Source organism: Homo sapiens, chromosome 4 (genome assembly GCF_000001405.40).
Source record: "Homo sapiens chromosome 4, GRCh38.p14 Primary Assembly".
NCBI lineage: Eukaryota > Metazoa > Chordata > Mammalia > Primates > Hominidae > Homo > Homo sapiens.
In genome coordinates this window covers 102,203,593-102,219,098 of record NC_000004.12, presented here as the reverse complement: position 1 = coordinate 102,219,098, position 15,506 = coordinate 102,203,593, and the positions used below count along the sequence as shown (strand labels likewise).

Sequence of the window (15,506 nt, the reverse complement as noted above, 5' to 3'; positions counted from 1 at the left end):
GCTTATGTGCTGTCGCTTACAAGGGGGTAATGAGCAATTTTGACTAAGCTCTGCTTGATCAATGTTAACCTATCACTCCTACTGAAAATATAATTCTAAGGGAATGTCACATAAGTAGAGGTAGTTAGAATCACCTCTGGGCTGCATTTGCTGGCTTGTCATCATCGGCTCCAAGAATGGCTACTTTTTTTGTCTTAAGGTTTTTGTCTCCTTGCTCCTTTCATTATCCTGAGAGGATCAGGTGATTAAAGGGGTCAGAATATGGGACACTGTTACCATGGAGACCAGAAGCTACTCGGCTCCTGTGCTGGTTGCTTTTTTCCCCCTCTCTGGCCAGATGTTATTCTATCAGAATAAGGATTTTTACCAAGTGAAAAATATTAAACTTTAAAAATGTTCCCTTTAGTTTTAGTACGTGTGAGAGAGGAAAGCTACCAAACAGTTTTCATTATTTTAAGACAAAGTGCTAAGAAAGTGGTGGGCTTTGGGTGGTGAAATTTCCTGCCACTGTGATGTTTGGTTTTGGGGCTTGTAGTTATTTTATGTTAAGCTTTTGGTTAGCATTTTATAATCATGAGTGGGAAGGCACAGAGTGCTTATAATACATTCCCTTCCTGCTATGAGAGAAAAAATGGATATGTTAGTAAATTGCAAATAATTTGAAAAAATTCTATTGACTCCTTTAAATACTTACTATGTTCAGATGCTCTTCTGAGTGCTTTACATCTAATTATCTAATTTAACCCAACAGCAAACTATAAGGTAGATTCTATTATGTCCATTTTACAGATGAGGAAACTGAAACACATTGTATTTAAGTGACTTGTGCACTTAGACTTACCATGATGAAACTCAGAGTAGAACTAAGCAGTCTTGCCCCAGAGCCCACACTTGGACTATGATTACTACTCCAGACACACAGATGAATCAACTGTGTGTCTTGTGACAGTGCTGCTCTGTAGCCAGAATTAAGGTTACGTTCATGTCACATGTGACTGTGCAAGTCACAAGGCTGAACTAATAATTATTTCAGCAAGCTGTAAAATATCTTAGAAGTAGGGTGAGGCAGACACCCCTGGTGCCTGCACCACAGTCACTGGGTCCAGCTTCAATTTCAGCAGCAGCTATAGTGGACAGTTACCTGATGATTCAGTCTTAGCTCAACACAGCTAATGTTCCACTTGGAGCCCAGTTATGGGTCTTTCTGTGATTTAGCCCAAGGTCTTCTCTGGTGTCCTGGTAGCTCCTTATCCTGTGCACAAGAACAGCCAGAAAGTGTGGGGGTGTTAAAAATGCCCAGGAATAACACTCATCCAAAGGGGTTACGGGTGAGACTAGCACATAAATACTCCAGTCTTCCATTGCCACCTGGATAATCCTAGAAGACATCCTATATATTCCTCAGAGGTTTAAAGTAGAACCCAGAATCCATCCATCAGTAACCTTTATAACACACCGAATAACAGTTTTTCCTCTTTCTTGTCTTGCTCTCTCCACTTACTTCCTCCTGCTTTCTGGGATCAGCTCCAAAATACACTGCCTGCACCCGAGTCTTTGCCTCAGGCTCTGTTTTCTAAGGAAATCCAAACTAAGAACCAGAGTTATTTACCAACATTCAGAAGTATGATGATTATGCTGTACTGAGAGTACAACCACCAATGGTGTGGTCACGTTCACATGGTCAAGACACACTTATGTATGTGTTTGGATCCTGGCTCTGTCACTTATATACCTTACAGCACTGCCACTTAGTCAAATATTTTAAACCTAAATAACCTGGGAAAAATACTACCTTATGGGGTTGTTGTGAGCCTGCTTGGAACCTTGACATACAAGTCTTGGTGAAGAAGGTAAACTAAAGGTTGGCTAGAGGTCTTTGTTCATGCAAATGTGGGAGAGGATGTGCTGGGCAATGTTTTCTCAATATTATTACAAGGAATTTTATTAAAGAAGCATCTGCTTTCATCCACCTCCCTTAAAGGAAAGAGCTATGAGTCTACTATAACTATGGGTAACATGTAGAGAACTCTGGGACCTCCAAAAAAAAAACCCCAAAACTTCAATTTAAATTATACTTCCATTTGTTAAAATCCTTCTACCTTATGTCTCTTGATGTTAAAGTGATGTTATAGCAAATGGGAGCAGAAAGTCAGTGAGTGTGGAATCGATCTAAAGTTGCTACGGAAACAGTAGGTGCAACCAATCAGTCGAGAGAGTGTTCATCCAGGAAGTCTTCAAATTGCCCCCAAAGGCCCTCTGACTGTATAATTGAACTGCATTACCATAGCTGGTGCACTGTGCCCACTGTGAAACCCCAAATAAAAGTGAGAGTAAGAGAAAAGTTACCTTGCATACCCAGCTATGTGGCCCTGAGGATAGCAGAACTCATCTAAGCTGCAGTTCTTTCCTCTGCTTTTGCAAATAGCAGGACAAACGGTGGGGATGGTAATAATACTTACATGTTTATAGCTCTTACATTCTTACATTTTCAAGGCATTTTATATTAATTGGCCAATTTGATCCTGTAAGAAAGACAGCCTTGGCCTTATACTATCCCAGTATCACAGAGGAGAATACTGAGGCACAGAGGGATTTGTTCAAGGACCCACAAATAGTAAGTAATTAAACTGGGACTAGATTCCTGGAATGTTTGCAAAACCTTTCCCATTCTGCTAAGTCACAGCCCAGAGATATCCTGGAGGGGATAAAGAAGCTGGGTGTCAGCTTCTCTCGAACCTGAAAGAAATCCTGATGGTGCTATTGAGAGCTCAGATGCTCAGGTGCTGTACACGGATCCACTCCCCTCTACCGTGTCTTTTACTTCTGTCTTTATCTAAACCTCAAATTCTTTTTCTGCAGGACAATCCCTCCATGAAATCTTTCAGAAGATACCTATACCCACAAATATGTCTTTCTTGAATTCTCACATCATTTAGTTCTCAGAGCAACCCACATGGTACTTAAATAACTCTTTTTGTACTACTTCATGTATGAGAATCTTTCCTCTTCAGCTATTAATAGATTATAACTTCTGTGAAGGTGAAATTTATAAATGTATGTTATGAGTCCTTTGTTTCTTCCTAATTTCTGGCAATGTTGGACACAAACTAAGTGTTTAGATATATCAGTTGATAATATGTAGCACCTCCTGTAGATAGATTTGTAGCCCCTCTTATCCCAGAGCTGTGGTTGCTACTGTTTGCTTGGTTTTATTCAGTGTGTGTGTAAAATGTGATATTAAATTTTATGAGATCATATCCTTTTTATGACTCACCTAAAATTTTGACAGAGTCAAGTAAACAAATTATTAATCGTACCAGAGTCTCCTTTCAATTGTTATAGGCTTGCTGATGTTCTATGCTAATGTTGTGAATTCAGAAAGGAGTTTAGCTGCTAGAATCTTAGGATAGTTTACTGACCTTAACATGTTTTCCTACATTATGAGATGAGCTGTGTTGTTATAAGCCTAACTCAAAGAAGTTAACAAACAACAACAATAATAACAACCATTTATACAGGTGAAGCATCTATTCACATTGTAACATACTTCCCTATTCTTCCCTAATTGAGTCTTTCTCTATAGTTAGGGTCCAACTGCTGTCGTAAATACACTTCCAAATGAATAATGGCTTAAATACAATAAAACAGTGTTACTGATTCATGTAATAGTCCTTAGAGAGTTGACAGATCAGAGACACAGCCACCTACTCATCCTCAGACTTGAGGTGATGGATGCCCTACTTTCCTTAAAGAGTGGCTTCCAAGTTCACTGAGAGTGTCTCCATTTGAGTGAGGAGGGGAGTGAGAAGTGAGGAGGACTGCTTAGTGGGTTTTTATGGGGCACGCCTGGATAACATGCGTTCACATTCAGTGCCCTCTCCTAACTGGAATGGGGTTGGGAAGTCTGGTCTGTGTATCCAGGAAGAAGAATAATATCTGACACCTCTCCGGCTCCAACAACAAATTTATGTTTCATAATAAATACTCAGACTTGGAGTGTTATCTGGAGATGCCAAAAAGAGTGAAGAAGGGCAAATTTATGAATATTTCCTTCATGTTCAAATACAAGTTTATCTTTGGAGGTATCAGTTACTGATCTTGTAGTCTTTTAATTCCTTTTAGCTAAGATTAACAGGGTTTCAAAATGTCCTTGGAGAATAAATTAACTGTCACAAAGGCTCTGCCTAAAGACAAATGAAAAGGGAGAGGAATACTGGTTGGTCAAGCAGGGTTTGTTATATACAACATTTTTGAACTTGGGTGCCCAGTACATCTTACCTTTATTTGGAATATTTATTCTTCCTTTAAAATCTCACACACATCAGTATCCTCCTTCCTTGGAAAGACTAGCTTTAGTGACTGGTTATAAGGGAGAAACCTAAGTGGGGCGCAGTGGCTCACGCCTGTAATCCCAGCACTTCGGGAGGCTGAGACAGGTGAATCACCTGAGGTCAGGAGTTTGAGACCAGCCTGACCAATATGGTGAATCCCTGTCTCTACTAAAAATACACAAAATTAGCCAGACTTGGTGGTGTGCACCTGTAGTCCTGGCTACTAGGGAGGCTGAGACAGGAGAATTGCTTGAACCTGGGAGGCGGAGTTTGCAGTGAGCCAAGATCATGCCACTGCACTCCAGCCTGGGTGATAGAGTGAGACTCCGTCTCAAAAAAAAAAAAAAAAAAGAAAAAAAAAGGAAAAGGAAAAAAGGGGAGAAGCCTGAGAATTTGTGACTGAGAGGAAGAGGCACTAGGGCTGTTGTAAAGCTGTGGGAAAGGAGGTGTGCTCAGGACCCGGTGCAGAGTGGGAGTTTTCTGAGTTGCCCTCTAGGAAGTGACTTGGTGACTTGTCAGATTTTCATGAAATGAGTGGTGCTGGGTAGCCCCAAAATGTTCCTGTACCTCTTCGTCAAGGTGAACAGCATCACTGCCTTTGTGCATTGTGTGGAGTTTTGTTTTAATTTTTGGTTCTGTCACACAAATCAGCTCCTTGCAAACAGCTCTAGATCATCTCCCCTTTTCATGACCCTTCTACCAGAAATACCCCCTACTATTTTCTGCAGAGTCATGTGTATAGTTTTCTTATATTAAGAAACCATAATCTGGAAGGTAAATAGTGGAGACCATCAGTATAAAAATATAAACACAGGTAACTTGGTAAAAACTGTAATCAAATATATATGTTTGGAGAAATGCAATGAATTCTTAACTGTGAAATGGGGATGTGAAAATTACGTGTTATTCCTTTTATATTTACAGCAATGCTATGAAGCAGATGCTATTATCCTATTTTTGTTTAATAGAAGGGAAAATGAGGCATAAAAATTATTTAGTCATCTTTCCAAGGTCAAATAGTTGGTGTTATAGAAAGGCATTGAACTTGGTTTTAATTCTAAATGCTGTGTATTTAATCATTATACCAGTTTACTTCATCCTTGGAATTCATATTTGAAAACACTTTCTTTGTTCTTAGCTACTGCTTGAACATATAAAGTAGGAAGTGGGGTTGTTTGGGCAAAGTGACTGAAAATGATCATCACCAAGTAACGTCTTAAGTTCATATCTGTGCATTGTGTTGAAATAAGTGTTAGGAAAAAATTCCACCTCTAGAAGTTTATGCTTGAAAACACCAGCATATCTTAGTATTTCTTGTATCCTTTGTGTGCCCCTGTGTCTTCTTTGAATGTCAGGGCTCACATTTAATTGCTGACATCTGACTTATTGCATAAGATTTACTTTGACTACCACCACTTTTAAGAATTTTTTCTAGATCTGCTCAAAAGAAAATTTATTTCTTTCATATACTTACAATATTTTGTCAACATTCTACAAATGCAATGAAATTTTTACCCATGACTTGCCTCTCTCACACAAGGGTTTCTGGAAGGCATGGCCAAATGTTGTACATATTTTACTCTTGCTGATGTCCTGACTGGAGCCTTACACATAAGGGTACTGTAGACAGCTGTCAAAATGAGATCATATGCCTTCCTTTAGGTTGAATATGACCATTTTTTAGCTTTGGCTTTTAATAGAGAAAGTTCTATCCTGAATTATAGGTTTTGCTTCAAAATAAAAGCGATATATAAGGAAAGAACTTGATTGATTAGATAATTTAATCCTCTCAGACTTTTCCAAATTTGTCCCAAAATTTGTGTTATTGACTATTTTTTTGCTTTAATAATAGATTGGACCAAATATTTACTAAAATATTTAAGTTCCAGCATTTGTGTTTCATTCATGTAGAAGATACAGGCATGCAGTGTTACTACAAGAGTGTATAAACAATGAGGAAAATATTGATCATCACAATACTAGTGGGCTAAAAAATTGTTTTAAAAACTTCTTTACTTTGTACTAGAATTGAAATTAATATTTCTTTGTTCACATATTCATTACAATTTTTTCTTTATGTATTCCCTGCCTTTTTGTTTTAAGGGAAATTTGAATTTCTATGGTAGCTTCTCTTCCAAATTGCCCAGAATCAACTCAACTCAGTGTTTTAAGAAACAATTGATTTCTATTATATAGATCTTTTGGTTAATCATTTCTCTGAAGCCTTTGTTTTGAAAGGAGAACTGCAATGATATTCCCTCCATTTAAAGAAAACATACTCTTTGTTGTAATTGCAATGAAGTATACTATCTATAAAATAGTTTATATTTTATAAAACTTTTACTTATAAACTATTTGGTTTTCTGTTTCTGAGTAATTCACTTAGGATAATGGCCTCCAGCCACATCTATGTTGCTGCAAAACTACAGCTATGTGTCAGGCTCAAGTTATCACATGTTAACAGAATGGTTGTAAATTTGAACAATTTATAATAACGCTAATATTTATTATTTTGTAATTAAAACTGATGATAATATGGTATGTTTTCTAAGAAAAAGTGCTTGAGTTCATCTTGTAGGACCTTTGAGTCCTCTTAAGTTTTTACTATTGTAAGGTGTCTCCTACATTTCAAATGCAAGGCTTTGTTCTATTACCCATCAATCGATCATCCTCATTATTGGCATTCTCACAGAATTAGAGCTGAACTGTGATAACCCAGTGTGTTTTGTGTTGCACTCTGAAAAGCACCAAGGAAGGAGGAAGCATAAAGTAGATCAAAGTAACTTCGATAGACGCACCCAGCAGGGCAAATGGGGACAAGACAGAACCTCATTTTACCAGTAAGTCCGTACAACTTCAATGATTTATTGAAAATGACACGTCTTGGCCTGGCGCGATGGCTCAAGCCTGTAATCCCAGTACTTTGGGAGGCTGAGGCAGGCAAATCACGATGTGAGGAGTTTAAGACCAGCCTGGCCAACATGATGAAACCCTGTCTCTACTAAAAATACAAAAAATTAGCTCACCATGGTGATGGGTGTCTGTAATTCCAGCTACTCAGAAGGCTGAGGCAGGAGAATTGCTTGAACCCAGGAGGTGGAGGTTGCAGTGAGCCTAGATCGTGCCACTGCACTCCAGCCTGGGCAACTGCGAGACTCTGTCTCAAAAAAAAAAAAAAAATAGAAAAAGAAAATTACACATCCTACACATAAGTTCTTATGAGAGAGTGTGTCCAAACAGGTTTTTAACAGTGGGTTAAAGAGAAAAAGAAATAATTTTATGGAGCCCATGGGAGAACTAAGTGGAAAGGAGTACAAAATCATTAAATATCATTTAATCACATATATACTTAAACCTGAAAACAGTGTCTCAGCTCAGAATGAAATGTGTCCCCATTTCTCTCTCAGATGTCTGAAAAACTAAAGCATTGCATTTTTGGAGAATGTGCTCATTGACTTCCTCTTGGCTTCCCCTCCCATCTCTTTGCTGCCTGTCTCTCCTGCTTAGTCTCCAGGATGATGGGAGGGCTGAGAAGAGAAAGGAAGTCCAGCAGTGAGCTTCCTGATGGTTTTGAACCCCTGCTCAAAGCATGAGGGAGTTAGCTTCTGTCTTCTTTCAGTCTGTGATATGGTTTGGCTCTGTGTCCCCACCCAAATCTCATATTGAGTTGTAACTCCCAAAATTCCCAAGTGTTGTGGGAGGAACCTGGTGGGAAGTAATTGAATCATGGGGGTGGGTCTTTCTCTTGCTGTTCTCATGATAGTGAATAAGTCTCATGAGATCTGATGGTTTTAAAAATGGGAGTTTCCGGGGGAGGAGCCAAGATGGCCGAATAGGAACAGCTCCGGTCTACAGCTCCCAGCGTGAGCGACACAGAAGACGGGTGATTTCTGCATTTCCATCTGAGGTACTGGGTTCATCTCACTAGGGAGTGCCAGACAGTGGGCTCAGGCCAGTGGGTGCACGCACCATGCACGAGCCGAAGCAGGGCGAGGCATTGCCTCACCTGGGAAGCCCAAGGGGTCAGGGAGTTCCCTTTCCGAGTCAAAGAAAGGGGTGATGGACGCACCTGGAAAATCGGGTCACTCCCACCCGAATATTGTGCTTTTCAGACCGGTTTAAAAAGCGGCGCACCACGAGACTATATCCCACACCTGGCTCGGAGGGTCCTACGCCCACGGAATCTCGCTGATTGCTAGCACAGCAGTCTGAGATCAAACTGCAAGGCGGCAGCGAGGCTGGGGGAGGGGCGCCCGCCATTGTCCAGGCTTGCTTAGGTAAACAAAGCAGCCGGGAAGCTCGAACTGGGTGGAGCCCACCACAGCTCAAGGAGGCCTGCCTGCCTCTGTAGGCTCCACCTCTGGGGGCAGGGCACAGACAAACAAAAAGACAGCAGTAACCTCTGCAGACTTAAATGTCCCTGTCTGACAGCTTTGAAGAGAGCAGTGGTTCTCCCAGCACGCAGCTGGAGATCTGAGAATGGGCAGACTGCCTCCTCAAGTGGGTCCCTGACCCCTGACCCCCGAGCAGCCTAACTGGGAGGCACCCCCCAGCAGGGGCACACTGACACCTCACACGGCAGGGTATTCCAACAGACCTGCAGCTGAGGGTCCTGTCTGTTAGAAGGAAAACTAACAAACAGAAAGGACATCCACACCGAAAACCCATCTGTACATTACCATCATCAAAGACCAAAAGTAAATAAAACCACAAAGATGGGGAAAAAACAGAACAGAAAAACTGGAAACTCTAAAACGCAGAGCGCCTCTCCTCCTCCAAAGGAACGCAGTTCCTCACCAGCAACGGAACAAAGCTGGATGGAGAATGATTTTGACGAGCTGAGAGAGGAAGGCTTCAGACGATCAAATTACTCTGAGCTACGGGAGGACATTCAAACCAAAGGCAAAGAAGTTGAAAACTTTGAAAAAAATTTAGAAGAATGTATAACTAGAATAACCAATACAGAGAAGTGCTTAAAGGAGCTGATGGAGCTGAAAACCAAGGCTCGAGAACTACGTGAAGAATGCAGAAGCCTCAGGAGCTGATGCGATCAACTGGAAGAAAGGGTATCAGCAATGGAAGATGAAATGAATGAAATGAAGTGAGAAGGGAAGTTTAGAGAAAAAAGAATAAAAAGAAATGAGCAAAGCCTCCAAGAAATATGGGACTATGTGAAAAGACAAAATCTACGTCTGATTGGTGTACCTGAAAGTGATGCGGAGAATGGAACCAAGTTGGAAAACACTCTGCAGGATATTATCCAGGAGAACTTCCCCAATCTAGCAAGGCAGGCCAACGTTCAGATTCAGGAAATACAGAGAACGCCACAAAGATACTCCTCGAGAAGAGCAACTCCAAGACACATAATTGTCAGATTCACCAAAGTTGAAATGAAGGAAAAAATGTTAAGGGCAGCCAGAGAGAAAGGTCGAGTTACCCTCAAAGGGAAGCCCATCAGACTAACAGCGGATCTCTCGGCAGAAACCCTACAAGCCAGAAGAGAGTGGGGGCCAATATTCAACATTCTTAAAGAAAAGAATTTTCAACCCAGGATTTCATATCCAGCCAAACTAAGCTTCATAAGTGAAGGAGAAATAAAATACTTTACAGACAAGCAAATGCTGAGAGATTTTGTCACCACCAGGCCTGCCCTAAAAGAGCTCCTGAAGGAAGCGCTAAACATGGAAAGGAACAACCGGTACCAGCCACTGCAAAATCATGCCAAAATGTAAAGACCATCGAGACTAGGAAGAAACTGCATCAACTAACGAGCAAAATCACCAGCTAACATCATAATGACAGGATCAAATTCACACATAACAATATTAACTTTAAATGTAAATGGACTAAATGCTCCAATTAAAAGACACAGACTGGCAAGTTGGATAAAGAGTCAAGACCCATCAGTGTGCTGTATTCAGGAAACCCATCTCACGTGCAGAGACACACATAGGCTCAAAATAAAAGGATGGAGGAAGATCTACCAAGCCAATGGAAAACAAAAAAAGGCAGGGGTTGCAATCCTAGTCTCTGATAAAACAGACTTTAAACCAACAAAGATCAAAAAAGACAAAGAAGGCCATTACATAATGGTAAAGGGATCAATTCAACAAGAGGAGCTAACTATCCTAAGTATATATGCACCCAATACAGGAGCACCCAGATTCATAAAGCAAGTCCTGAGTGACCTACAAAGAGACTTAGACTCCCACACATTAATAATGGGAGACTTTAACACCCCACTGTCAACATTAGACAGATCAACGAGACAGAAAGTCAACAAGGATACCCAGGAATTGAACTCAACTCTGCACCAAGCGGACCTAATAGGCATCTACAGAACTCTCCACCCCAAATCAACAGAATATACATTTTTTTCAGCACCACACCACACCTATTTCAAAATTGACCACATACTTGGAAGTAAAGCTCTCCTCAGCAAATGTAAAAGAACAGAAATTATAACAAACTATCTCTCAGACCACAGTGCAATCAAACTAGAACTCAGGATTAAGAATCTCACTCAAAGCCACTCAACTACATGGAAACTGAACAACCTGCTCCTGAATGACTACTGGGTACATAACGAAATGAAGGCAGAAATAAAGATGTTCTTTGAAACCAACGAGAACAAAGACACAACTTACCAGAATCTCTGGGACGCATTCAAAGCAGTGTGTAGAGGGAAATTTATAGCACTAAATGCGTACAAGAGAAAGCAGGAAAGATCCAAAATTGACACCCTAACATCACAATTAAAAGAACTAGAAAAGCAAGAGCAAACACATTCAAAAGCTAGCAGAAGGCAAGAAATAACTAAAATCAGAGCAGAACTGAAGGAAATAGAGACACAAAAAACCCTTCAAAAAATCAATGAATCCAGGAGCTGGTTTTTTGAAAGGATCAACAAAATTGATAGACCGCTAGCAAGACTAATAAAGAAAAAAAGAGAGAAGAATCAAATAGACACAATAAAAAATGATAAAGGGGATATCACCACCGATCCCACAAAAATACAAACTACCATCAGAGAATACTACAAACACCTCTATGCAAATAAACTAGAAAATCTAGAAGAAATGGATACATTCCTCGACACATACACTCTCCCAAGACTAAACCAGGAAGAAGTTGAATCTCTGAATAGACCAATAACAGGAGCTGAAATTGTGGCAATAATCAATAGTTTACCAACCAAAAAGAGTCCAGGACCAGATGGATTCACAGCCGAATTCTACCAGAGGTACAAGGAGGAACTGGTACCATTCCTTCTGAAACTATTCCAATCAATAGAAAAAGAGGGAATCCTCCCTAACTCATTTTATGAGGCCAGCATCATTCTGATATCAAAGCTGGGCAGAGACACAACCAAAAAAGAGAATTTTAGACCAATATCCTTGATGAACATTGATGCAAAAATCCTCAATAAAATACTGGCAAACCGAATCCAGCAGCACATCAAAAAGCTTATCCACCATGATCAAGTGGGCTTCATCCCTGGGATGCAAAGCTGGTTCAATATACGCAAATCAATAAATGTAATCCAGCATATAAACAGAGCCAAAGACAAAAACCACATGATTATCTCAATAGATGCAGAAAAGGCCTTTGACAAAATTGAACAACCCTTCATGCTAAAAACTCTCAATAAATTAGGTATTGATGGGACGTATCTCAAAATAATAAGAGCTATCTATGACAAACCCACAGCCAATATCATACTGATTGGGCAAAAACTGGAAGCATTCCCTTTGAAAACTGGCACAAGACAGGGATGCCCTCTCTCACCGCTCCTATTCAACATAGTGTTGGAAGTTCTGGCCAGGGCAATCAGGCAGGAGAAGGAAATAAAGGGTATTCAATTAGGAAAAGAGGAAGTCAAATTGTCCCTGTTTGCAGACGACATGATTGTTTATCTAGAAAACCCCATTGTCTCAGCCCAAAATCTCTTTAAACTGATAAGCAACTTCAGCAAAGTCTCAGGATACAAAATCAATGTAGAAAAATCACAAGCATTCCTATACACCAACAACACACAAACAGAGAGCCAAATCATGAGTGAACTCCCATTCACAATTGCTTCAAAGAGAATAAAATACCTAGGAATCCAACTTACAAGGGATGTGAAGGACCTCTTCAAGGAGAACTACAAACCACTGCTCAAGGAAATAAAAGAGGATACAAACAAATGGAAGAACATTCCATGCTCATGGGTAGGAAGAATCAATATTGTGAAAATGGCCATACTGCCCAAGGTAATTTATAGATTCAATGCCATCCCCATCAAGCTACCAATGACTTTCTTCACAGAATTGGAAAAAACTACTTTAAAGTTCATATGGAACCAAAAAAGAGCCCGCATTGCCAAGTCAATCCTAAGCCAAAAGAACAAAGCTGGAGGCATCACACTACCTGACTTCAAACTATACTACAAAGCTACAGTAACCAAAACAGCATGGTACTGGTACCAAAACAGAGATATAGATCAATGGAACAGAACAGAGCCCTCAGAAATAATGCCGCATACCTACAACTATCTGATCTTTGACGAACCTGAGAAAAACAAGCAATGGGGAAAGGATTCCCTATTTAATAAATGGTGCTGGGAAAACTGGCTAGCCATATGTAGAAAGCTGAAACTGGATCCCTTCCTTACACCTTATACAAAAATCAATTCAAGATGGATTAAAGATTTAAACGTTAGACCTAAAACCATAAAAACCCTAGAAGAAAACCTAGGCATTACCATTCAGGACATAGGCGTGGGCAAGGACTTCATGTCCAAAACACCAAAAGCAATGGCAACCAAAGCCAAAATTGACAAATGGGATCTAATTAAACTAAAGAGCTTCTGCACAGCAAAAGAAACTACCATCAGAGTGAACAGGCAACCTACAACATGGGAGAAAATTTTCGCAACCTACTCATCTGACAAAGGGCTAATATCCAGAATCTACAATGAACTCAAACAAATTTACAAGAAAAAAACAAACAACCCCATCAAAAAGTGGGCGAGGGACATGAACAGACACTTCTCAAAAGAAGACATTTATGCAGCCAAAAAACACATGAAAACATGCTCATCATCACTGGCCATCAGAGAAATGCAAATCAAAACCACTATGAGATATCATCTCATACCAGCTAGAATGGCAATCATTAAAAAGTCAGGAAACAACAGGTGCTGGAGAGGATGTAGAGAAATAGGAACATTTTTACACTGTTGGTGGGACTGTAAACTAGTTCAACCATTGTGGAAGTCAGTGTGGCGATTCCTCAGGGATCTAGAACTAGAAATACCATTTGACCCAGCCATCCCATTACTGGGTATATACCCAAATGACTATAAATCATGCTGCTATAAAGACACATGCACACGTGTGTTTATTGCGGCATTATTCACAATAGCAAAGACTTGGAACCAACCCAAATGTCCAACAATGATAGACTGGATTAAGAAAATGTGGCACATATACACCATGGAATACTATGCAGCCATAAAAAATGATGAGTTCATGTCCTTTGTAGGGACATGGATGAAATTGGAAACCATCATTCTCAGTAAACTATCGCAAGAACAAAAAACCAAACACCGCATATTCTCACTCATAGGTGGGAATTGAACAATGAGATCACATGGACACATGAAGGGGAATATCACACTCTGGGGACTGTGGTGGGGAGGGGGGAGGGGGGAGGGATAGCATTGGGAGATATACCTAAGGCTAGATGACGAGTTAGTGGGTGCAGCGCACCAGCATGGCACATGTATACATATGTAACTAACCTGCACAATGTGCACATGTACCCTAAAACTTAAAGTATAATAAAAAAAAATAATAACAATAGTAATAATAAAATAAATAAATAAATAAGTAATAAAAAAAAATAAAAATGGGAGTTTCCCTGCACAAGCTTTCTCTCTCTTTGCCTGCTGCCATCCATGTAAGACGTGACTTGCTTCTCTTTGCCTTCTGCCATGATTGTGAGGCATCCCTAGCCTGTGGAACTGTAAGACCATTAAACCTCTTTTTCTTCTCAGTCTCGGGTATGTCTTTATCAGCAGCATGAAAATGGTCTAATACAGTCTGGGTTTTCTGAGCATCTGGGAATTCCTTCCAAGTAGCCTGTATGAGACCAGATATGACATTGAGGATGGCTTGTGACAGGAATTTTAGCCACCTTGATTCAAACAGCAGCCAGCCAGAGAAGCAACAGGTGTCAGGCTCAAGTTGTCACATGTAAATAGAGTGACTGTATATTTGGCAAATATAATTTGTGTCCAAATTGTGATGTATTTGAGAGTGAAAAGAGAAACTATTAATAATTAAATGTAAAACCATAAATAATTAAATCAAGTTAACAGGCTTAAACAGGTTTGCCACAGGCAAACCAGGATATATGATAATCTTACATATAAATCAGATTTTTTCTCATTGTAATGTCATTCTTTGCCTGGGGTACAAATCCCTCTACTTCCTCCCCAGATTTTCCACTAAAAGATTGCTAACTAGACTGCATCACACTGAGCACCTATTTACTGATTGCTACATTTGCTTGTGGCTTTTTTCATTATAATGCCATAGTAAGAAGTTGAGGTTTCCTATTGTTAGAAAAAGTAGAAATGGAATGTGTGCAATGCAGTCTTGACTAAGACCATTAATTTGGTCAGATTTCTTCCGTGTTCTTGTCCTTTATCACTCTCAGTCATAAAAGAATATGAGAATATAAACTATTTCACAGTTTTACAAGTTTTCTCTTCATAGTATTGATCTTCCAGTCCAAATTATGGCTGGCCAGCTTAGTTACTGATTTAACTTATTCTGTTCCTAAAGTTGATGCTTTTCCCCTTCCCCTATAGTGAAGTTTCCCTTTCTTTAAAATTTTTTAAAAATTTTAGATTCAGGGAGTATATGTGCAAGTATATTATATGGATATATTGCATAATGCTGAGGTTTGGGTTTCAATTAAACCCATCGCCCAAATAGTAAACATAGTACCCAATAGGTAGTTTTTCAGCTCTTGCACCTTTCCCACCCTAGCCTCTTTTGGAGTCCCCAGTGTCTATTGTTACCATCTTTATGTCCATGTGTACCCAATTTTGCTTCCACTTTTAAGTGAGAACATGTAGTGTTTGGTTTTCTGTTTCTGCATTAATTTTCTTAGGACAGTGGT

At 39.8% G+C, this 15,506-nt stretch overlaps 2 annotated features.

The window, feature by feature from the left end:
• Positions 7,851-8,449: an enhancer, noted in NCBI's record as "H3K27ac-H3K4me1 hESC enhancer chr4:103131807-103132405 (GRCh37/hg19 assembly coordinates)". NCBI's record gives its function as "activates a minimal SCP1, AML or CMV promoter by ChIP-STARR-seq in naive H9 embryonic stem cells {active_cell/tissue: H9 hESC(naive)}" and the evidence as "EXISTENCE:reporter gene assay evidence [ECO:0000049][PMID:30033119]".
• Positions 8,450-9,048: an enhancer, noted in NCBI's record as "H3K27ac-H3K4me1 hESC enhancer chr4:103131208-103131806 (GRCh37/hg19 assembly coordinates)". NCBI's record gives its function as "activates a minimal SCP1, AML or CMV promoter by ChIP-STARR-seq in naive H9 embryonic stem cells {active_cell/tissue: H9 hESC(naive)}" and the evidence as "EXISTENCE:reporter gene assay evidence [ECO:0000049][PMID:30033119]".